Here is a 24,954-nt window from a genome sequence, read left to right as displayed (position 1 = left end):
AGGAATATCATTTTCAAACTATAGAAAACCAAGCATAAGAAAAAGCCTGAAAGCCAAGAGAAGAAAAAGCCTAACAAACCACACTTTACCTATACAGGAACAAAGATAAGAATTTTATCTGACTTCTCCTCAGAAACCATGCAAGCAAAAAGAGTGGAATAAAATTTTTAAAGTATTGAGAATAAAAAAGAAAGCAAAATTGCGAATAAAAAAGAAAGCAAAATTACCAATCTAGAATTCTGCACTTTAGGAAATTATCCTTCAAAAGTGATGGGGTGGCTGGGTGCAGTAGCTCATACGTGTAATCCTGGCACTTTGGGAGGCCAAGGTGGAAGGATTGCTTGAGGCCAGGAGTTTGAGACCGGCCTGGGCAACATAGTGAGACCCCATCTCTACGAGAAAATTAAAAATAATTAGCCATATGTGGTGGCATGTGCCTGTAGTCCCAGCTACTCTGGAGGCTGAAGTGGCAGGATTGCTTGAGCCTGGGAGGTCAAGGCTCCTGTGAGCCATGATCATACCACTTTACTCCAGCCTGGGTGACAGAGCAAGACCCCATCTCTTAATGAAAAAGCACACAAACACAAATGATGGGGAGAGAGAGGATTCTGAAAAGAGAGGGGAGTAACAAGCAAGAGGAATCTCTTTCGTTACCTGGACAACAATCACACCGGCAGAATATGTCTTATATCCGAAGAAACAGGAAAATGTATATAGGCCATTCAAAGAAAACAAAAACAAATCAAAAGAAACCGTCCTTGAAAAAGACCTGATGGCCAATATGGCCGATCCATTCAAAAAAGATTTTTTTTTTTTTTTTGAGATGGAGTCTTGCTCTGTCACCCACGCTGCAGTGCAGTCGTGCAGTCTTGGCTCACTGCAACCTCCACCTCCCGGTTCAAGAGAGTCTCGTGCCTCAGCCTCCTGAGTAGCTAGTATTACAGGCGCCTGTCACCACACCTGGCTAGTTTTTGTGTTTTTAGTAGAGATGGGGTTTTGCCATGTTGGCCAGGCTGGTCTCAAACTCCTGATCTCAGGTGATCCGCCTGCCTCAGCCTCCCAAAGTGCTGATATTACAGGCATGAGCCACCACTACTGGCCAAAACAAAGACTTTAAAACAGCTATCCAAAAGATGCTCAAAGAACTAAAGGAAGATGTAGAGAAAGTCACGAAAGTGATGTATGACCAATATGAAAATATCAGTAAAGAGACAGAAAACCTAAAAAGAAACCAAAAAATTTCTAGAGCTGAAAAGTACAATAACTGAAATAAAAAACACTAAAAGGAGTCAAAGGGGCAGATTTGAGCCGGCAGAAGAATCAGCAAACTTGTATATAGTAAAATGAAGATTACTGAGTCTGAGGAACAAAGAAAACAGATTGAAAAGTGAACAGAGTCTAAGGGGTATGAGTAGGACACATTCAAATAGAACAAAATAGATACTGTGGGAGTAACAGAAGAAGAAAGAGACAAAATATTTGAATGGGTGTAAACTCCCGAATTTTGATGAAAGCCATGAATATCCAAGAAAGTCAACAAAATCCAACTAAAATGAACTTGAACTCAAGGAAATCTACAATGAGAAATCTTACGGTCACACTTGAAAATTACAAAGAGAATTTGAAAGCAGCAAAAGAGAAGTGATTTGTCACATACAAAGAATCTTCAATAGATTATGAATAGATTTCTCATCAAATATTTCAGAGGCCAGGAGACAGTGGGCCAATATATTCAAAGGGCTGATAGAAAAAAAGTCATCTGTGAATGCAGAGACACACACACACACACACACACACACACACACACAGTGCAAAACTGTTAAATACACACACACACACACAAGGAAAAAAACACACACACACAGTAAAACTGTTACATCCGGAGGGCTGACCTTAAGAAGCGAATGCTGTGGCATATTTCAAAATGTTCCTTTCCCTTTAACCCTCTTGGAAGTGTGAGGGGATTTTTCTCCAATATTTACTGTGAGACTCTGGTTGAGCTCTTGGATATAAAATCTGTAAAGGTGTGGGGTCTCACCTATAACTGGGTCCCTTTCAAAGTTTTTAATTTTCTGACTTGACCACCACTTAGCCCCCAGCAATTTGTCAGTTACAGCTCAGGTTTCCTACCTCAGCACTGGTTCCTGTGGCAATTTCTGCTTGTGAATCTTGGATCTTGTAGCCATGGCTCCCTTTATTTGTTTGTCTCTCTAGTTTGGGGTCAGTGGTTTGCTTGGTGTTCTCCCCTGTCTTTTGGATCCCGGAAGCACTGTTGGTTTTTCAGTCTCTTCAGCATTTTATTTGTTGGTAGGATGGATGGTGATTTCCAAGCTCCTTATCTGTGGAACCAGAAACCTGTTGCCCTGTCTTAAAAGGCATATTGGGGCCAGGCGCGGTGGCTCACACCTGTAATCCCAGCATTTTGGGAGGCTGAGGCGGGCAGATCTCCTGAGGCCAGGAGTTTGAGACCATCCTGGCTCACACAGTGAAACCCCGTCTCTGCTAAAAATATAAAAAATTAGCCGGGCTTGGTGGCGTGCACCTGTAGTCCCAGCGAGCCGAGATCGTGCCACTGCACTCCAGCCTGGGTGACAGGGTGAGACTCCATCTCAAAAAAAAAAAAAAAAAAGGCGTATTGATAGGATATACTCAAGGGGTATGGCGCTCAGGGGACTTGAACAATGCCGTCTGAGGTTGAGAGAATTGAAAGTTTCATTTGGGGTACATTTGAGGAGAGGACTGCCTCAGAAAGCAATGAAGCTTTGTTATTGTTCGGGGTTTTTGTTGTTGTTTGTGTTTTTTGGTTTTTGGTTTTTTTTTTTTGTATGTGAAAATGGTGAAGCTTTGGCTTTTAGAATTTTGGTACTGTGGTCGGGAGAGTGGGAGATTAGATGACATGACAGTTGAGTTATAGAAGAGCCTAAAGATAGGGAAAATATATAGTAGTTGAATCCTAGCTCTTCCATTTTCTAACTCAGAGATCGTGGTGACCACAGGCGTGAGTCTTTCTGAGTTCCCACCTATAGCATAGAGATAATTATACCTATCTTATGGGAGTCATTATGGGGGATTAATAATATAAATAAGCCTGGTCAAAGTGCTTCCTAAGGGTTAATTGTATTATTGCCTATTGGTATATAGATTCATGCTGTAAATATTTTAAACAGATGCATTGTTTCTGCATACCTGTGTAGTTATGGAAGAGATACAGAATTTGGAGTTGAAATTTGGAAGGAATATGACAGACCTTGATTTATCATGTCTTAATGGCAGGATATTCACTGTACTGTGTTAATTTGATCATTACAATTTAATCTGTTAAAGGAAAGAGAAGAAAAAGGAAGATGTATAAATAAAGAAGGCTTTTATTTTTGTTTTTATCATTAATTTTTCATCTCAAAATTTGTTTTGGCTACAAAATATGCAGAAAGAAAGTCTTAATTTTTAGAAATGAAAAATATTTTAACATTCCATTAATCTGATGACCTGACCCAAGAGTTTATAGCATGTTTGTTTTAGCTTTAATTCTTGGTTCTGTTTTACTTTATGTAGAGATTCTTTAAAATAAGGATAAGAATCCAAAGGAGAAGTGCAGGTGCTTCTTTCATAGCCTTTTAAAGTTGATTCGTATACAGTAAATAAATTAGTATGGCGGATATGTGTGGACTGTTCCACATTTGGCACATCTTTATGAGTATGTTTTTGTAGACATTTGAAGAAAGTTTTATAATAGTTGGTGCAAATTTGTCCTTTTATGTGAAATACTTTTTCATTTCAAGTTAAAAATGCATTACCACAGAGGATCTGCCAATTTCTACAGATAGAATTCTCATTGTACAAGTAACTTTAGTATGTCACAGTAGGTATTGCACAGTACAGTCATGCGCAGCATTATGGTGTTTTGGTAAATGATAGACTGCATATATGTCAGTGGTCCCCAAAGACTATAATGGAGCTGAAAAATTCCTTTTACCTAGTAATGTCAGCTGTCTTAAGGTCATAGCCATCTTAATGCCGTAGTTCCAACACATTACTCATGCAACTCAATAGTGAGAAAAGAAACAAGCCCAACAAACCACCATGAACATATTTCTGAAAAAAGTGACACCTCCTCAAGAAGTACCTCAGGCAGGTCCCTCAGGAGGGATTCCAGGAGAAGGCATTGTTACCATAGGAAATGCCAGCTCCATTCATGTTATTTCGCCTGAAAACCTTTTAGTGGGACAAGATGTAGAGGTGGAAGACAGTGATATTTATGATCCTGACCCTCTGTAGGCCTATGCTAGTGGGCGTGCGTGTTTTAGTTTTCAATAAGAAAGCTTTAAAAATCTAAAAATAGAAAAAGGACCACAGGTGTGTACCGCCATACATGGCTAGTTTTGAATTTTTTTTTTTTTTTGTAGAAACAAGGTCCCCCAGTGTTGCCCACACTTGTCTCTAACTCCTGGCCTCAAGCAGTCCTCCTGCTTTGGCCTCCTAAATTGCTGGGATTACAGGTGTGAGTAATCCTGCAATCCCACTGTGTAATCCCCCTGCTTACTTCTTATTCCTAAGAAAAATGTTAAGTGACATTAAATTTTTTCCTGGTCGCTGTTTTATTTTAAACTATGGAATTTAATATATGAATGCATTCTCATTCACAAAGGTCTAAATTGCTTAGAATTAGGTGGAAAAACGTGTTAAAACCTCCATTTATCATGTTTCTTTCTCCCTATTACCATTTTCAAACATAAAGGTAACCACCCTTTTTGTATCGTTTCACTGCTTGGTGATTTACAGACATTTGGAGACTGTTGCAAAACTAATGTTGAATTATTTTCAGTGGGTATTTATATTTTCTCCTAATCATTTTCATTCTAGGAAAGTTTAAAACTTTTCGCTATTGAGTTATGAAAATTTCCCTTGAAATTAAGAATTATGTAAATGATGAATATGTTCACAGTAGAATAATGAGAAAATAAGCCAACGTTATATTTTTAAAATTCACCTGTAGTGTTAGAATTGAGAGAGAACTACTCTTATTAATTTGATATCTAGATTTCCAACTTGCCCATTTCTGAAGATAAATGTAATATATTTAAGTCTTAAAGGATCATTATATACATAGTTTTGTAATTTGTGTTTTTTAATGTAGTAATAAATGGTAGCATACACTCTTTTAGCAGTTGTAACATGCCAGCCAGACTTTTAATCCATTTGTATTTAGTAACCTAGGTCTTCACAACAGTCCTTTCAGGTAAGTATTATTACTATTATGCCCATTGTACAGATGGGAAAATTAAACTCACGTAGTTAGGATAAATAACCCCCAAAGTTCACATAGCTGCTAAGTGGTTGAAATGAGATTTGAATTTAGGCAGAGGATTCCAGAGTGTGTTCTCTTTGACATATGGTCATAACCATCTTTCCATGTCAATAAATATAGACTTCACCTGTACTTGTATTGGCTGTATAGTATTTCACTTTCATCTCACTCAAACTCTTAGTAATATTCACATATCTTCATTTCTTGAAAGGATTTTTTCTTTACAGGCTCTTCCTTCTAAGTTTCCTTCATGGTTCATTCTCTACCTGACTTCTAAATTTGTAGTTTCCAATGGCCAGGCTCTTTGTTTATTTGCCTTCTTAAGGTAAGCTCATGCATTCCTGTGACTTTAAATACAGTTTATATAATGGCAATGCTCAAATTTACAGTTACTGCTCGGAACTTTCTACTTTGCTCCCCAACTCATATCCACAGTGGCTTATTTGACATCTTCATGAAGATGTGTCATAGATCTCTAAAATGTGTGAAATCAGAATGTTTGATTCCCTCTCTAACTTTGTTCTTCCTCCACAAATCTGTTCCTTCTCTTTCTGATCGTAGTAAATGGCTCTTGCATCAACCTAGTTGTTCAAGTCAAAAAATTAGGAGTCATCACTGATTACTCTTTTTTCTGTCAACTCTTATAGTTAATTTTTCAGTAAGTCCTGTTTCTGCTTTCATAATATTTCTCCAGTCCATCCACTTTTACTGTCATCACCTTCATCAGGCCACTCCATCGTTATCCAGTTATGTATGAACACCTGCTTTGCATTCTATTTTCCACTTCTGCTAACAGTGTTTCACCATTGTTACTATTAATCTTAGGTTGTGAAGTGCTGATAAAGACAGTGTCAGGACTCTGCTTATTACATCTATAAATTCACACTATCCAAGCTCAGTTAGACTGACATTACTATTTAGCAGACCATCTTCCTCCTGCTTGAAATATCCTTGCGTTCTCATGTATTACTCCTATCCCCATTCCTGGTTTATGTGTAGTGGAATTAAGAGTGGAGCTTTTTAGCATACATGTTTTTTTTTTTTTCATCTTTTTTCTTTATTTCCCCACCTCCTTATATTGAGTTAGATAAAAAATGGGAATTCTACATCTGATCTGACTAATATAAACTGCTGTCAAGGTGACCTTATAAAATATATTTATGTACTATCTCTGCTGTATATTCAATGGATCTTTTTCCAACCAAATGAACTATGAAAACTTCATCCTGGCCCTCCAGGCTGCCTTTTAAGGTGTTGCCAATTAAAAAAAAAAAAACTTTAACCCTTATCTTCCACTGAGCTATTCATTGTAGTCAGGCTGCTCATTTCAGAGCATGCTCTTTGTTTTTTTTTGTGTGTGTGTGTGTGTGTGTGCCTTGTGCTATAGTTTATATATATACTTTGATTTCTTTTTTTTTTTTAATAATGTAAAACTTTGGATGCAGGAACTGTGTCTTTCAAGTACTTTTGGCATTTACATCAGGGATTCATAGCTGTTCTACATAGTTCACTTGTATCGGGAAGATTATCTTACTTAGTCAGGAACACAGTTTTGGAGGAATATCTGTAGAGCAGCAGGAAGAAAAGGAGAACCCTTACTGTAGGCATTTGTCAGTTCAACCCAGACATTGGTAACTAATGTGTGTGTGTGCAACCAGATCATATCTGGAGTTAGATTTTTCTTGTCTTTCAGTATGCTGTATAGCACAGAAACTTGAATGTAGAAAGTTTTCATTGAAGAATTGACTGTGATCCTTCCTGATCACTGGGCTTATTGCTTCCTGGGCATCCACTGGCTTTTAATTTAGTTTTAAGCCAGGCTTTTAAAGTAGAACCAACCAGGAGGCAAGGATGTTGGGGGCATGATTTTCCAATGCTACTCATGTAAACTCAACTTTTTAATTCCTTTTTTGGAATAAAACAGGCTCTTCACTGTTTACAGGGTTATTTCTAAGTTGCAAAAATTATCTCTCAACATGTTTTTGTAATTTCTGTATCCCCCATTTGATCTTGGCTGCCACAAACAGAAAATGTGAGAACATTTTTTTTGTGTATCTATGGTAGAAACAGTAACTGCTCCAGGTCTGTCAAGTAGATTCATTGGATCTTCTTATAAAAATAATATATTTTTGTTAATAAAAATAAATTTGAAAATTTCAAATGAGGTGTTTTACTTAGAATGATGTTCAAAAGTTTTTGTCCATAAGTGTTTGAGGAGGTCCATTTTAGGATTTTCCAAGTGTATTAGTCTGTTTTCATGCTGCTAATAAAGACATACCCGAGACTGGGCAATTTACAAAAGAAAGAAGTTTATTGGACTTACAGTTCCACGTGGCTGGGGAGGCTTCACAATCATGGCAGAAGGCAAGGAGCAGCAAGTCACATCTTACATGGATGGCAGCAGGCAAAGAGAGCTTGTGCAGGAAAACTCCCCCCTTATAATAACCATTAGATCTCATGAGACTTACTACTTACTATCATGAGAACAGCACAGGAAAGACCTGCCCTCATGATTCAGTTACCTCCCACTGGGTCCCTCCCACAACATATGGGAATTCAAGATGAGATTTGTTTGGGGGCACAGCCACACCATATCACCATGTATGTCTCTGGCTACACTTAGGAATGTCTCATCTATTTAAGTTTTTTTTAAGCTCTACATATTAGCTTCAGAAAGTACAAATAAAAATAAGAATAAAAATTACCAAAGATTTTATCAGTTATGTTATAACCCCTGTTAACTTTTTGACCATTATTTATTTTTTTGTTCTTTGTTTTTTTTCATATGTATAGCCAGTTAGATGGTGTTTTTACACTCATCCACTTTTAAAATTAAAAACAAGGGATGTAGCAATCTTTTCTATACAAAGAGAAACACTGTAATAGGAGCAACGTTTTTATCCTTTAGGTACTCATAGACTAGTGACGGGAAATTCATGTCATACTACATAACAGAATGAGCTAAATTCCATTTGTCTGTGGTGGAGTCAGCTAACATTTTCATTGAGGATATTCTGTGTGCTGAATATTTATAGCCATTATCTCATTTTATCTATGCAATAACTCTATGATATGATGTAGATGAAGCCATTGAAATTTAGAGATTAGATAAATTGGCCACATAGTTCATAAACAGCTAGGAGTTTGCCCAGGTTTGTTGACATTTAAATCCACGCTTGCTACTTCTTTCTTTATTTATTTAAGACAGAGTCTTGCTCTGTGACCCAGGCTGGAGTGCAATGGCGTGATCTCGGATCACTGCATCCTCCGTCTCCTGGGTTCCTGGGTTGAAGCGATTCTCCTGCCTCAGCTTCCTGAGTAGCTGGGATTACAGGTGCCTGCCACCACGCCCGCCTAATTTTTGTATTTTTAGTAAAGACAGGGTTTCACCATGTTGGTCAGGCTGGTCTCGAACTGCTGACCTCATGATCCACCCGCCTCAGCCTCCCAAAGTGTTGGGATTACAGGCATGAGCCACCAAGCCCGGCAAATCCATGCTTTTAAACATTACTCTGTATGGTGTGATAATGAACAGTCACTGTATCTGACTGTTCATCTGTGTGTCCATCTGTATTGAATAAAGGAGAAGGAGTTGAAGAATAAAGGGAAATCTACAGAGATGCTGAGGAAAATAATAATAAAATAACTTGGAAAGAGACATCCTCAAAGGATAATCAGTGGAAACCAGCTTTGCTAAAGTAATAGCACTTTATTGTGGTACTTGTAACATGACTGCTAACGAATTATAAAGGTATGGTATAGATATTTGGCATAAATAAGCTTATTGCCTCTTAATGTTTGCTCTGTAGATTAAGTTATGTCAAAGACCACAAGCTGATGGTTCCCAGCTCTTGATTTATGAGCCAGGAACTGTCCTGTCAAAGCAGTTTAAGTGAAATTCAGGCCCTATGAACTAGAACATGTAGCCAAAATATTCTAAAGTTTTGTAGATATCCTACAGATATATGATTTTGTTGAATTAGTCAATTTAGCATTGTGCCAGCCACTACGCAGTCTCACAAATGAAAGTATGTGTTATATTCCTAAAGGAGCGTATGAAGTAGACATGTTCACAAGTAATAGATTATTTTAAGTGCTATGGAAACACATAGAGGGGAGCATTTTTGCATGAAGAATCACCAAAAGTGAAGTCAGTCAGCATTTTTCTCATATTCAAAAGCCATCTTATGCCTATCTTGTGTGATTTTATTTTATATAAATGAATATCTTTTTCCTTCTAGGTATATTTGTTTTTCTGTTTAGTTATCTCATATGTAAATGCTAGTTTAAATATTTAACTGTTTTCTACCAGCTGACAAATATATTTTAGCTTCTGTTGATATCTTTATAACAGAAGTTTAAAAACTGTTCTTGTCATGTTCTGAGTCAAGCATAGGTAATAATACTGTATAAATTAAAATTGGCTCTTAATGTTGTATGGATTGCTTTCTCTAATGAAGTTAGGAAGCATTCAAAATTTGATTTGTTCTTAAAGTAAGTGAAGATTTGAAGAGTGGTGTAAATATATATAGAAGAAGGACTATGTTAGCACAACTCCTTTTTTTTTTTTTTTTTTTGGAGACAGAGTCTCGCTCTGTCACCCAGGCTGGAGTGCAATGGTGTGATCTCAGCTCACTGCAACCTCTACCTCCCAGGTTCAAGCAATTCTCCTGCCTCAGCCTCCTGAGTAGCTGGAATCACAGGCACCTGCCACCACACCCAGCTAATTTTTGTGTTTTTAGTAGAGATGGGGTTTCGCCATGTTGGCCACACTGGTCTGGAACTCCTGACCTCAGATGATACACCTGCCTCAGCCTCCCAAAGTGCTGGGATTACAGGCGTGAGCCACCACACCCGGCCTAAGCAACTTCTTTTTAACACTGTTGACATATTTTAAACTATATTTAACAACATTGCTGGAATGACTATTTGAGATAACCTGCTAATTGAACACAAATCAGTTGAAAATCTAGTCTATCTGCTGTAAGAGGGTTTTCTAGTTTCAAGTCTAGGATAATTCATTCCTTAAATTCCCACTCCCCACCTGTGTTTTCATAGTCCTTTCCTGTGCATTTATTTTCAGTATTCTATAAATTTTACAACAGTATACAAATCAAAGGAATTGTTACTCCAGCTTGGTCATTTAATATAAAAGATGGATGTAAGCCATGATTCTTGTCATTACTTACTTGGCTCTTTGCATTTAGGATTCTTGTTATATACAGTTACTGTATATCAATCCTTCAAATTTCAAAAAATTTTTTTTACAAGAAAAGTATATTTTAAAGATAAAATTAATCCAAAAGTAGTGCCAAATAGGACTGCTTATTAGTATAGATTTATGTATCACTAAGGATAATTACTAATTAATACTTTTACACAATTTAAAAATATATAAACACCGTTAGCTACATAAACTTATTTAGACCTAACAACAACCTTATGATGGGTATTATGATACTAGCTTTATAGATTGCAAAACTGAGTCTCAGAGAGGTCAAATGACCTGCCCAAGGAGAAAGAATTAAGTGGCAGAGCAGGACCTGAAACCCATATTTGTATGATTTTGAATCCAGAAGTATTTTAATTACTTACACTTAATTGGTAGCTTCCAGAGTGCTTATGAATGTTTTATTTTGGCTTAAACATTTGTCTTGCAGTTCCATTTACAGTATATGATATGCAAACACTGATTTGTATAGTTAATGCAAAGATACTTCAGTCTGGTCTTTACCCTAGTGATCACCAACTAGGGAAAAGTCATCCATTTAAATGAGGCTCTAGAGCAGCTTTTCCCAAAGTGTGAGGTATGCTAGTGTAGGTATCAAAGGAATATTTATTATTTTAATGTAATTCTCAGCCTAAAAGGCCATCAGCCCTCAGACCAACCAACAACAGGTTTATTCTAGATTTTATGTAGTGAAGCCTAAATCTCCCTTAAAAGCTCAAACTTTCTTTTCCCCTGTCCTCACTTCTCTTGAAGCTCTTTGTCTAGCTCCTTCCCCTCTGGGCACATGCAGTCCCCTCATAATTTCCTCCAGTCTGTCACCCTTGCCTTTCCTATATTTGACTCTTCATACTTCTTCAGTAATCCAACTCTTCCTCCTCAGCTCCAACTCTTTCCCTTTTCAGTTTTCTTTTTTTTTTAATCCCTTTCCAGGATCCACACATCAAACACCAGTGTCCTCTTTACCCCTTGGGTTCTTCATAACACTTTCACATATACCTTAGCCCTAGACTTATCCTACCTCCCATCCTATCACAGCTCCTTCTCCAGTCAACTGCATTCACAACCCACCCTAACTCCTTAACCCGTGACTAACAGAAATAACCTGCTCAACAAAATCTGTAGTATGAAGTGTCTTTCTCACCAAACCAAGGTCTAACTGGTTCCAGGATTGGGAGGTCTTGTTTTCTTCCCCTTGGCTGTCTCATAACTGAACTCCATAGGCTCTCTCCACACTTTTAAATGTTTTCTACACTTTTGTGCTTATTCACTGTTGCTAAGCTTACATTCTACAGTTTTGGTGATTCAGAATGTTCTGGGATTCACGAATAATATGGGGAACATTTTAAAAAAGAATTAACTAAGAGCAGTTGACAAAGCCTCCTGCCTTGAAAGGAGATTTTGGCTTACAAAGGACCACTGTTAAATCAGATTGGACAGCAGGTGATATCAAAGAAATACGCAGGTAGTAAGGGTATGAGACAAAACTTCTAATGCATGAAGTTTGGGAAATACTGCTCTAGAGTATTTGGAATTCGAATTTATTCATTCAGTCAGTCACTTATTCACTCATGCATTCACCATGTCGTCATTATATTAAGCATCTACTCTGTACCAAGCATTGGGCTGGCTATGCAGTAGTATGACAAAAATTCAGTTTCAGCCCTCATGGAGTTTCCTGTGTAAGGGAAGGGAGATTCCATGTGCTTTTATGAAAAGCAGAGTTTTTGTTTCTTAAAAAAAAAAGTTCCTCCTTAAACAGATTTTAAAAATATAACTGAAGTGACAAAAATACACTTTCTGTAAATAACATCTGGTAGATGTGTTACCACTCAGAATTTCTATTATGATAAATAAATGTACCAAACCTGGTGTCAGAAATCACTGTGGGCCAGGTTAGAAAAACAAACACTTTTCACTTGAGAATACATCACTCCATTATTCAGTATTATAAAATGAAGAAAAATCACTATTACTGCTCTAGTTAGTAAATGAAAGTGTATTTGCTTATTACAAATGTTGGTTTGATTTCGAATCTCCTAAAGTACCTATCTCCTGAGATGCTGGCTGAGCTTTAAGGACAGCTTGCAACACTGGATCTTCCCATGGGCCGCCATCTCTAATGATTCGAGTCACCAGTTCCAGATTCACATTTCCATATCTGCGGAGGTGATTCTGGTATTCCTGGAATGATCCAAGAATATCCTTTAAGGGCTCTTCATAAAACTCACCTCTTCCAAAGAACAGCAGCAACTCGAAGAAACTCACAGCAAGGCTACTCAAAACATGTTGTACGTGCTCACATTCATCTGGGAATGATGCACTGGCTGTTGTAAAACAACAAAGTACAGTCTGAAGAACCTGAAGCTGTGGCAAAGGGACCTGCCATCTTCCAACGTAATCTTCAACCACCTGACAGAAGCGTCAGCAGTAACCCCGACAGCTGATCGTGACGCCGCCACTGCAGCTGCCAGCACCGCCTCTGCCGTCGCCCGCAGCTCTAAGCCCCACAGGGCCAGCAGGGACTCCACAGTGGCCACAAGCTCTTCTCTGAGGCGTTCGGCCTTTTGATCGCTGTCTTCCTCCGCCATGAGGCTCTCGCTGCCCAGCGCATACCAGCCCCTGCTCCTCCACCACTGTAGCTGCCTAGGCTAACCTCCCAAATTTCAAAATATTTTAAAATGAGAAGTGATGTAATCTATTAATATAATCTTTGTAATTATAATTTGTTTAGGCAGTTTTTATTTTGGGCTATATTTTCTTTATATCCATACTGATGTTTTGTTTGCTTGTTCTATCAAATACTGAGAGTCCCTAGCCTACTATCCCTGCATTAAAAATTTTGGTCGGGGTGACCTTGGAGCGTAATTCAACCTCCGAACAACCTAAACTAAGACCATGGGGTATTAATATTTCCAACTGAAGGTATAGATTTGTCCGTTTCTTTCTTAGTCCTGTTAGTTTTTATGTTATTAATTTTCAGGCTCATTTATTGAAGATGCATACGTAATTAGAATGGTTATGCCTCCGTAATGGATTACCCCTTTTATCTAAATTACCTTATCTCTTATAATACTCTTTGCCTTGAAGTCTGCTTTATTATTTATATACCAACTTTTTTACCCTTGCAGTTTGCATGGTAGATCTTTCTCCATTCATTTGTTTTCAACTCATTTGAACTCATAATTAAACTATATAACTTATGTATATATTTATATATAATATGTATATTAGATATATGTATTAGTCCGTTCTCACATTGCTGTAAAGAACTACCTGAGAGACTGGATAATTCATAAAAGAGGTTTAATTGACTCACAGTTCTGCAGGCCGTACAGGAAGCGTGGCTGGGCAGGCCTCAGGAAATTTACAATCATGGCAGAAGGTGAAAGGGAAGCAAGCACGTCTTACGTGGCCAGAGAAGGAAGACGAGAACAAAGAGGGAGAATGCCATATACTTTTAACAACCAGATCTCATGAGAACTCACTATCAGGAGAACAACAAGGGGGAAGTCCCTCCCCGTGATCCAGTCACCTCCCACTAGGCCCTTCCCTCCAACACTGGGAATTACAATTTGACCTGAAATTTGGGTGGGGGCACAAATCCAAACCATATCAATATATAATTATTATATATAAGTATGTGAACTATAATTGCTTTTTAATCAGTTTTTATAATTTATGTTTATTAATTGGAGTATTTAATCCATTTATAATTACACATATTTTAGACTGTTTAAAATGGTATTGGAATCCCCTGAGTCTCTTCAGTTTCATTTATTCATTTTGTCTTTATTTTTCAGATTGATTTGTGTTGAAGTTCACTGACTTCCATATAGTTTCCTTTTTTTTTTTTTTTTTTTTTTTTTTGAGATGGAGTCATACTCTCTCATCCAGACTGGAGTGCATGGAGTGCAGTGGCACCATCTCGGCTCACTGCAACCCCTGCCTCCCAGGTTTAAGCAATTCCCCTGCCTCAGCCTCCCGAGTAGCTGAGATTACAGGCACATGCCACCATGCCTGGCTAATTTTTGTATTTTTAGTAGAGACGGGGTTTCACCATGTTGGCCAGGCTGGTCTCGAACTCCTGACCTCAAGTGATCCGCTCACCTCAGCCTCCCAAAGTGCTGGGATCACAGGTGTGAGCCACTGCACCCGGCCTAGTTTCCATTTTTCTGTTGATATTTACTTCTATTCACTCATTAAGACTATATTTTATTTCTTTAATATATTTTCCCTTAGTTCTTTGAACATATTTATAAGAGCTATTTTTAAGTATTTGTCAGTTGAATCTAACATCTTTTGGGGCCATTTTCTATTGACTGCTTTTTTCTTGATGATGAGTCGCATTTTCCTTTTTGCCTATCTAGTAATTTTTAAATTATATACTGTACCTTGTGGATGTATGGTAGAGACTCTGGGGTTTTGTTATTTTTCTTTGAATACTATTGATTTTCATTCTGATAGGCTGTCCAGTTACTTGCTGTTCATCCTTAACTCTTGCAGGCTGTTTTATACTTTGTAAATGTAGATGTGTGGAAAGATCAAGATGTTTCCCAAGTTTTTTTTTTTTTTTTTTTTTGAGATGGGGTCTCGCTCTTTCCCCCAGGCTGGAGTGCAGTGGCGCAATCTCCGCTCACTGCAAGCTCCGCCTCCTGGGTTCATGCCATTCTCCTGCCTCAGCCTCCCAAGTAGCTGGGACTACAGGTGCCCGCCACCATGCCTGGCTAATTTTTTGTATTTTTAGTACAGACGGGGTTTCACCGTGTTAGCCAGGATGGTCTCAATCTCCTGACCTCATGATCTGCCCGCCTCAGCCTCCCAAAGTGCAGGGATTACAGGCGTGAGCCACTGCGCCCGGCCCCCAAGTTCTTTTAAATTTGTAGGGTACAACCTCCAAACTGTGTTTCCCTTTGGATCTTTTAGGGTTTAATGTTAGGTTTTGTTAGGTTTGTGCTAGAGTAGGTCTTACTTTAGAGCCTGGTTCTTTTTCATAAGATGTGTCAGCTGAACGACCAAGAAATTAGCCAGGTTTCTCTACCTTTTTTTTTTTTTTTTTTTTTTTTTTTTTAAGAGACAGGGTCTCACTGTTGCCTAGGCTGTCTCAAACTCTTGGGCTTAAGCAGTCCTCCTGCCTCAGCTTCCCAAAGTGCTGGGATTACAGGCGTGAGCCACCACACCTGCCCTTCTCTACTTTTGCTTGTCTGGAAATCCTGTGTTCTTCCAATGCCACTTAACCTCCAGTGTTTATGTTTTACCATAACCCCAAAGCAGTTGGTCTCTAATAAACCTGGACTGCTTTCTCTCTGGGTAGCCCAGCCTTTAGCCAAGTACACACATGTGACTTCTAGGGATCTCCCTCTCCTTGCTTTCCAGTGTCCTGCCCAGAATAATTTAGCTGCTTCATTTGTCTTAAACTCTGATCTCTGCCTCCTCAACTCAGCAGAAACATGCAATTATATGCTGCACACTGGTTGCAATATTGACTTTTATCAGAGTTTCTGGGCAATTATGGGGTTGACTTGGTGAGTTTCTCTTCTCTCAGGAATTACAGTCTTGTGTTTATTTTACGAAACCTGAATACGGTTGCCTTGTGTGTTTTGTCATTTTTGATGGTTGTTTACAATGGGAGGGCTAGCTGGTACCAATTACTTCATCATAGCCAGAAGTGCATGATTCTGAGTAATAAGTATACAAATGTATTGTGTCATGCTGGGACTTATTTGTATTTTCCATTAGTGATTTGTTCAAACCCACTCCCCTAATAAAATTTTGTACCTGGCTTTTATTGGAGGGGGAGCAAAACTTTCTCTATTAAAGAGGCGTAGCATTTTATGATTTTCTAAAATTTTATTGCATTTTATAGAGTATCTGATAAGTGTCATGGTTCTTCCCTGTCTGCTCTGGGGAAGACACCAGCATATCTTTGGTTTACCTTATTTTCATCAATATAAGTATTAGCTGTACATGTGGATAGTATTTGACAAAAGATAGCTAGAAATATTAGCTGCTGAATCTTTTTTAAAACTGGAAATTGATGGTGTGGCCACTTTTAAAATAAATTTTTGCAGATATTAATTGAGTCATTAAATATTTAGTGAGTGCCTGTTTTATTGCCATTGCTGGCATTGTACTTGGCACTAGGGATATAATGGAGAACAAAATAGGCATGCATAATCCCCATCCTTGTTGAATTTACATTCCACTATGGGAGACAGGCAATAAATACAAAGAAACAACATCAAAAATTACAAATTATGATACCTACCAGGAAGAAAACAAATAGGGTTCTATGGTTGAGAACAGTGAGTTCTTAGTTCAGTTAGGGTGGTCAGAGAAGACCTCTTTGAGGAGTTTTATATTTAAACTGAATGGATAAGGAGGTAGTGTCCTTATGGGAGAGGTTGAATTAGGTACTATGATGGGTTTTTAAATACCTTTCCAGTACCCATAAAGATCCTGAGGAAAGTTTCGTTATATTAGAGGAACTGAGAGAAGATAAGTGTGTCTGAAGTATGAACAATGGGAAGAAAATGACAAGATTTAAGTCGGGAAGGTGGACATAGGCTAGATCATTTAGGACCCTGTAGACAATGGTAAGGTGCTTGATTTCTTCTTCTTTCTTCCATCGCTGAATAGGGTAACTATATAATTTGTTGTACAAAAACTGGCATACTCTGAGTAAAAAGGAGCACCAACTGGATGGAATACTGGGTGGACAGATGTAATCTAGCCCTGTTTGGTAAAATCATCCTAATTGTGTACATAACATATGTAGAAATAGTATAGATTCTGCCTGCAGATTACCTTTAAATATTATTATTATTATTATTATTATTATTATTATTATTATTATTATACTTTTAAGTTCTGGGATACATGCACGGAACGTGCAGGTTTGTTACATAGGTATACGTGTGCCATGGTGGTTTGCTGCACCCATCAACCTGTCATCTACATTTCTCCTAATGCTATCCCTCCTCTAGCCCCTCACCCCGTGACAGGCACTGGTGTGTGATGTTCCACTCCCTGTGTCCACGTGTTCTCATTGTTCAACTCCCACTTATGAGTGGGAACCTGCGGTGTTTGGTTTTCTGTTCCTGTGTTAATTTGCTGAGAGTGATGGTTTCCAGCTTCATCCATGTCCCTGCAGAGGACATGAACTCATCCTTTTTTATGGCTGCATAGTATTCCATGGTGTATATGTGCCACATTTTGTTTATCCAGTCTATCACTGATGGGCATTTGTGTTGGTTCCAAGTCTTTGCTGTTGTGAACAGTGCTGCAATAAACATACGTGTGCATGTGTCTTCATAGTAGAATGATTTATAATCCTTTGGGTATATACCCAGTAATGGGATTGCTGGGTCAAATGGTATTTCTGGTTCTAGATCTTTTTTTTTTTTTTCACCCAGGCTGGAGTGCAATGGCGTGATCTTGGCTGGCTGCAGCCTCAGCCACCCGGGTTCAAGCCATTCTCCTGCCTCAGTCTCCCAGGTACCTGGGATTACAGGTGTGCACCACCATGCCAAGCTAATTTTTGTATTTTTGGTAGAAACGGGGTTTCACCATGTTGGCCAGGCTGGTCTCGAACGCCTGACTTCAGGTGATCCACCCACCTCAGCCTCCCAAAGTGCTGGGTTTACAGGCGTGAGCCACCATGCCTGGCCTCTGGTTCTATATCCTTGAGCAGTTGCCACACTGTCTTCCACAGTGGTTTAACTAATTTACGCTCCCACCAACAGCATAAAGGTGTTCTATTTCTCCACATCCTCTCCAGCATCTATTGTTTCCTGACTTTTTAATGATTGCCATTCTAACTGGCATGAGGTGGTATCTCATTCTGGTTTTGATTTGCATTTCTCTAATGACCAGTGATGATGAGCTTTTTTTCATGTTTGTTGGCTGCATAAATGTCTTCTTTTGAGAGGTGTCTGTTCATATCCTTTGCCCACTTTTTGATGGAGTTGTTTGTTTTTTTCTTGTAAATTTGTTTAAGTTCCTTGTAGATTCTGGTTATTAGCCCTTTGTCAGCTGGATAGATTGCAAAAATTTTCTCCCATTCTGTAGGTTGCCTGTTCACTCTGATGATAGTTTCTTTTGTTGTGCAGAAGCTCTTTAGTTTAATTAGATCCTATTTGTCAGTTTTGGCTTTGTTGCCATTCCTTTTGGTGTTTTTGTCATGAAGTCTTTGCCCATGCTTGTGTCCTGAATGGTATTGCCTAGGTTTTCTTCTAGAGTTTTTATGGTTTTAGGTCTTACATTTAAGTCTCTAATCCATCTTGAGTTAATTCTGCTTACTATCTATATAGCCCTTGGGCAGTTTGATGTCTCTGTGCCTCAGATTTCCCATTTGTAGTATGGGGAAATAATACCTCACTGGGAATGAAGATTAAGTAAGATAATATATGTATCAAAACACACAGTGCCTGGCACATGCCAAGTACTTAGTAAATCTGTTCTTTCAGCAGATATTTATTGAAAGGTTATTATGTGCCAGACATTATACTAGGCAATGGGGATTAAACATTGAACCAAACACAGAAATCCTTGACTTCATTGGGTTTATATTCTGGTGCTGAGAAATAGGTGATAAATAAGTTAAAAATGGGATGTAAGATGGTAATAAGTACGATGAAGCAAAAACATGACACAGAGAATGGAATATGGAATATGCTGGCAGCAGAAGGGGATGGTGAGCTAATATGTAATATGCTGGCAGCAGAAGGGAATAGTGAGCTGAAAGTTTAAGTAGATTGATCAGAGTAGACCTCATTGAGAAGGTATGATTTGAACAGGGATTTAAGGAAGTGAGGGATTGAGCCAGCTACAGGAGGTGATTCCAGGCAGAGGGAACATGCAGAGATGATATGGGAAGTAGTTAGGGGGTTTTAAGCAGAGGAATGACAGGAAATGGTTTATATTCTAGAAGGATGACTAGGCTGTGGATAAGAGAGAGTGACAGCAGGGAAACAAGTTGGGAATTGAAATAAAATATGTTGAACCAGGGTGGTATCAGTGGAGGTAGTTAGAAATGGTTGGATTCTGAAACTTCTTGAAGGTAGAACTGACAGGATTTGCTGATAAATTTGATAAGTTGTTTGAGAGAAAAAGAGGTGCCAGAGGTTTTTTTAGCTAGAGCAACTAGAAGGATGAAGCTACCATTTTACCATTTACTGAAACGGGGAATAACTGTGGGAGGAATAAATTCGGGTGAAGATTAGGAGTTTCAGTTTTAGGCATCCTATTAGACATCCAAGTATTCGTGTTAGCAGTTGTTACTTATCTAATAAATGTTAACTGTTATAATCATTCATTAAATATTTATTGGCTCTCTGGTGAACAATTTGCTATGTTCTTGGAATTAAAAGGGTGGTCAAAAATAGACAATCTTCTTGCCTTTATGAAATTTGCAGTCTAATTGGAAACATAGAAATTGGTCAAATGACCTCATCATTGGTAGTATTTTTTTCCTAAAACACAAACAAACAAAAAAACCCTTTAATTAGGGCACCTAAAGAGAAATAAGAGTGACTTAACAAAATCATAGGTATCCCTTGATATCTAAATTTATTAGGTTCTTACGGGCAGATAGTGAGGGATGTGTATACATTGATCTTTCAGACTACTTACATAAATGGTTTTTTTTCAGTAGACATATATTTTAAGTTTCTTATTTAACAATATCTCATTCTTAAAGTTGGTTAGCTTAATTAATATGAGAGAATGAAGCTTCACGAATTTACCTTCATTTAGTTGAAATGAGAGAGTTGTATATTGAATTTAGTGTTTAAAAGTATTACATATTTCATGAAATACTTAGGTTGTTAGAAATGTTCTCCTTTGTTTCTTTCATTAAAAATGTTTTGCTTTTACTTTTTATTAGCTAAGGACCATTTTTTTGTAACTGAAGTCTTTAATAATAGCATTATAGTATCATCTATTTACCTTTCTCTCATAACATGAAAGTATTAATTTTTGTGTTTTCAAAAATCAACAGGTTCGTCACAAGGCATCGCAGAAGGTTTATGCTATGAAGCTTCTTAGTAAGTTTGAAATGATAAAAAGATCAGATTCTGCCTTTTTTTGGGAAGAAAGAGATATTATGGCCTTTGCCAATAGCCCCTGGGTGGTTCAGGTAAGCATACTAACTTTTATAAGTTTATTTCCTTTTTTTATGAGTGCTTTATTATTCATGAGTTGATTTTTGTGTGCCAAGTCTTATGCTTCATTTACATGGTAACAGTGCAGTTATTTTTAGGAGATTTGATTCAAAACATTTGTTTAATGTTCCAAAACAGTATGTCCACATAGATATGACATGTAATACTTACTTAAATTGTTGTATGGAAGCAAGTATTACTTGCAGCTTTTTCTTCTTGATAAAGAATTGGCTTGAATACCAGTATGCCATTGTTTCATACCCACTTATTCTTGTGATTTACATAGTAGGAACATAGTAAATTCATTGAATCATCTGGAAGGATATATACATATTAATATTCCAACATGGCACATGTGTACATATGTAACAGACCTGCACGTTGTGCACATGTACTCTAGAACTTAAAGTATAATCATTAAAAAAATAAAAAGTTTGTGTGGCCAGGCGCAGTGGCTCACACCTGTAATCCCAGCACTTTGGGAGGCCAAGGCAGGTGGATCACGAGGTCAGGAGATTGAGACCATCGTGGCTAACACAATGAAACCCTGTCTCTACTAAAAATACAAAAAAATTAGCCGGGCATAGTGGCACACACCTGTAATCCCAGCTACTTGGGAGGCTGAGGCAGGAGAATCGCTTGAACCTGGGAGGCAGAGGTTGCAGTGAGCCGAGATTGTACCACTGCACTCCAGCCTGGCAACAGAGCAAGACTCCGTCTAAAACAAAAAAAGAAGCTTATGTTACATTAATCAGCCTATCTTGAAAAGAAAAAAAACAACAAAAAACTTCCTACAATAAACATTTAGAAAATTCTACAATATTGTGGCTCCTAATTTTGCCTTTTATTTGACTGTGGGTTAAGGAATTTATGGTTCTGCTTTGCCTTCATTCTTTCTTTTTTTTTTTTTTTTTTTTTTTTTTTTTTGAGATGAAGTCTTGCTCTGTTGCTCAGGCTGGAGTGCAGTGTTGGAATCTCTGTTCATTCCATCCTCTGCTTCCCGGGTTCAAGCGGTTCTCCTGCCTCAGTCTCTCGAATAGCTGGGACTACAGGCATCTGCCACCATGCCTGGCTAATTTTTGCATTTTTAGTAGAGATGGGGTTTTTGCCATGTTGGCCAGGCTGGTCTTGAACTGCTGACCTCAAGTGATGTGCCTGCCTTAGCCTCCCGAAGTGCTGGGATTACAGATGTGAGCCACCGCACCTGGCCTTTGCCTTCGTTACTATTATATTTCTTCACTAGCTTTGCTTCTGTAAACATTTTTTTTATACTAGTAAGTAAATCTGCAGACATTTTTGAACAAGTGTCCTGAGTAAGATTAGGTATACACCAGTTCTTGTTCAGAATGCTTAAATGATCTGGGAGTTTGATACCTTGCTTGTGGAAGGCAGTTCAGATTCCCCTCCCCCCATCCCCCCCCAAAAAAAACCCACTTTTGACCATGTTATTTAGAAGCTCATTAATGTTGCTTTTTTATAAGATTGATCCTCATTCCTGCTCCCTCCCCCACTTTTTATTTAAATTGTAGGCAGTGAATAGAAATTCTGATATGTACAGTGAAACTAAAACTTCTATGGTAAATTCTATACCATGATAATTTTTTTTTTTCCCTTGAGACGGAGTCTCCCTCTGTCACCCAGGCTGGAGTTCAGTGGCGTGATCTTCGCTCATTGCAACCTCCACCTCCTGGATTCAAGCGATTCTCCTGCCTCAGCCTCCCGAGTAGCTGGGATTACAGGTCCTCACTACCACACCTGGTTAATTTTTGTATTTTTAGTAGAGAGACGGGGTCTCACCATGTTGGCCAGGCTGGTCTCGAACTCCTGACCTCAAGTGATCTGCCTGCCTTGGCCCCCCAAAGTGCTGGGATTACAGGCATGAGCCTCTGCGCCTGGCCTGCATACCATGATAATTTATCTGATTAAAGAATGATTGCAGTAAAGTATTTGTTTCACTTTTAGCTTTAAATTGCTTTCATAGTAGCGGATTGCCATTTCTGGTTATTTCATAAATTGATATTCTTTGATCTTTAATTCTGCTATGTGAACCTTTATAAAGTGTTAATTGAGATAGAAGAAAATCTGCTGATTATTGAAGTAATTGAGATAATGGATCTGAGGGAGCAAACCAATAGTGAAACATAGTACAATTGAAAAAGTAAATCCGATTATAATTGTGGCCTTTATATGCTTATCTCTCTGGGTAAAGAACAACATTCCATGCACCATTATATTTATGTGTATAAAATGTTTGACCTTTTGTGAAAACTTGTCAAAGTGACTGACTTATTTTTATTTATTGTTTTATTCAATGATTTTGAATATTTTCACAGAGTTGTACAACCATCACCATTACCTAATTTTAGGACATTTTTCTCACCCTCCAAAGAAGCCCTGGACCAATTAGCATTTATTCCCCCAATTCCACCTGCCCCCCTGCCCCTGCCAACTGCTATTCTATTTTATGTCTTTATGGATTTGCCTATTCTGAAAGCTTCCTATAAATCAATCACACAACATGTATGTATGTCTTTTGTGACATCTTTCACCTAGCCTAATGTTTTGACATTCATTCATTCATGTTATAGCATGTATCAACACTTAATTTCTTATTATGGTTAAATAGTATTCTGTTACATGGTTGTACCACACTTCGTTCATTCATCACTTAATGGACATTTGTGTTGTTTCTCCTTTTTGACTATAATGAATAATGCTGCTTTGAGTGTTCTTTCATAAGGATTTTGGTACATATGTTCACACATTTCTTTTAGGAATCTACATTGCAGTGAAATTAATGAGTCATTGGATATGCCTATAATTAATTTTATTGGACTATTTCAGTTTTCCAAATCTCAGCTCTTATTTTTAAATGACTATTAAATATTTAATTGTATTAATACCCCCACAGTTACTATACTTTTGTTAGAAATATCACTTTTCATTTTTGTTAATATAAATTAGCCACAGTAATAGGTTAAATCTTGGGCCTATCTGTATTTCTTAGAAATATATTATTAGGGTGATTTCTGAATTCAATAGATAAATATTGACATATTTTAAAAACTTTTATTCATTTGCGGGTAGAGAGGACTTTGTCTTTTTAAAGCCATTTATATATCCAGTTTGCTGTGTTTTTCTAGTGTTGTTATTTTTATGGCAAATGCTTCCTTGCTTTCCTTTGTAGTTTTATCACCCAGATGTGTACCCCTAAACACCTTAGTTTAGTTTTGGCATTAAAAAAAAATTTAAGTTCAGGTATATCTTTTAAATCTCTCAATGTAGAGAGTTTCCCTCTTCTTTCATTTACTTTTGTCCCCAGGTTGAAGAAACCTAGATTTTGCTGATCTCTTCTTGTGGTGTAGTTTAACATGTTTCTCTCTCACTTGTATTTTTGTAAATTGGTTGTTAGATATAGAGGCTTGATCAGATTCAGGTTCCACTTTGGAAGGGGACGGTATAGGACTACTTCATAGGCCAGGTTCATAGGCCACCTATAAGAAGACTAATGTCTGGTTATCTGGTGTGTTACCAGCTATTTGTGCTCAGTGTCTTGATATATCATTTATTAAGATTTGTCAAATGATACTTCAGTTCAATCATTCCTCCTTGGTTATAGTGACTGGAATACTTCTGTGAAGAAAAATATTTCTCTGTTTACTTGTTAAGTTACTCAGGGTGCAGTTCACACTGGAAGGACAGGATAAATGCTTTATTCTTTTATTGTATTTACCAGTTTTCAAAATAAGGGTGACCAATTTTGGGGGAGAATCAGTTTGAACTCATGGACTTAAAACCTGTGTGATATGTTTCAGTCCTTTGAATATCTTATTGATGCTCAAATTGTGGTACCTTTGACCAGTGGGATCAGAATGAGGTTGGTTTCTGAAACCTTTAACGAAGCCTTAATAATCTTTGATAGCTTGCTTGCAATGTGATGTAACAGGGTGCTCCAGACCTATCTTAAACATTTGCTGCTCTTGATGTGTAATTAACTGTGCTTGTAGGTCTGTCTTTTATACATGTGTGAGTTTTTCTTTACAATAGATTCCTAGCATTGGGATTGCTAGGTCAGATGGTATGCACATTTGACATTTTGATTGATAGCACCAGATTGCTTTGTTAAAAAATTTTTCTTTACAAGTTTACATTATCTTTGTACAATAGATGTTCTCTTTCACCACAGTTTTAGCAAATACTTGATATTGTAACTATTTTAAATTTTTACTAGTTGCATGCTTGAGAAATAAGGTGTTAAC

At 37.8% G+C, this 24,954-nt stretch overlaps 1 protein-coding gene across 6 annotated transcripts in view, besides 1 other annotated feature; it reads left to right on the top strand.

Moving 5' to 3' along the window:
- Positions 1-24,954, top strand: part of ROCK2 (Rho associated coiled-coil containing protein kinase 2) — a 165,679-nt gene that overhangs the window by 75,107 nt on the left and 65,618 nt on the right. For all 6 annotated transcript variants that reach the window (NM_001321643.2, XM_011510417.3, NM_004850.5 and 3 more), the window contains exon 4: positions 20,533-20,670. In NM_001321643.2, coding sequence (NP_001308572.1) covers positions 20,533-20,670 — 138 coding nt within the window. The remainder of the gene's footprint in view (positions 1-20,532; positions 20,671-24,954) is intronic.
- Positions 12,531-13,050: an enhancer, noted in NCBI's record as "H3K4me1 hESC enhancer chr2:11397407-11397926 (GRCh37/hg19 assembly coordinates)". NCBI's record gives its function as "activates a minimal SCP1, AML or CMV promoter by ChIP-STARR-seq in primed H9 embryonic stem cells {active_cell/tissue: H9 hESC(primed)}" and the evidence as "EXISTENCE:reporter gene assay evidence [ECO:0000049][PMID:30033119]".

Source organism: Homo sapiens, chromosome 2 (genome assembly GCF_000001405.40).
Source record: "Homo sapiens chromosome 2, GRCh38.p14 Primary Assembly".
NCBI classification, from domain to species: domain Eukaryota; kingdom Metazoa; phylum Chordata; class Mammalia; order Primates; family Hominidae; genus Homo; species Homo sapiens.
This window is presented reverse-complemented; position numbering and strand designations above follow the sequence as displayed.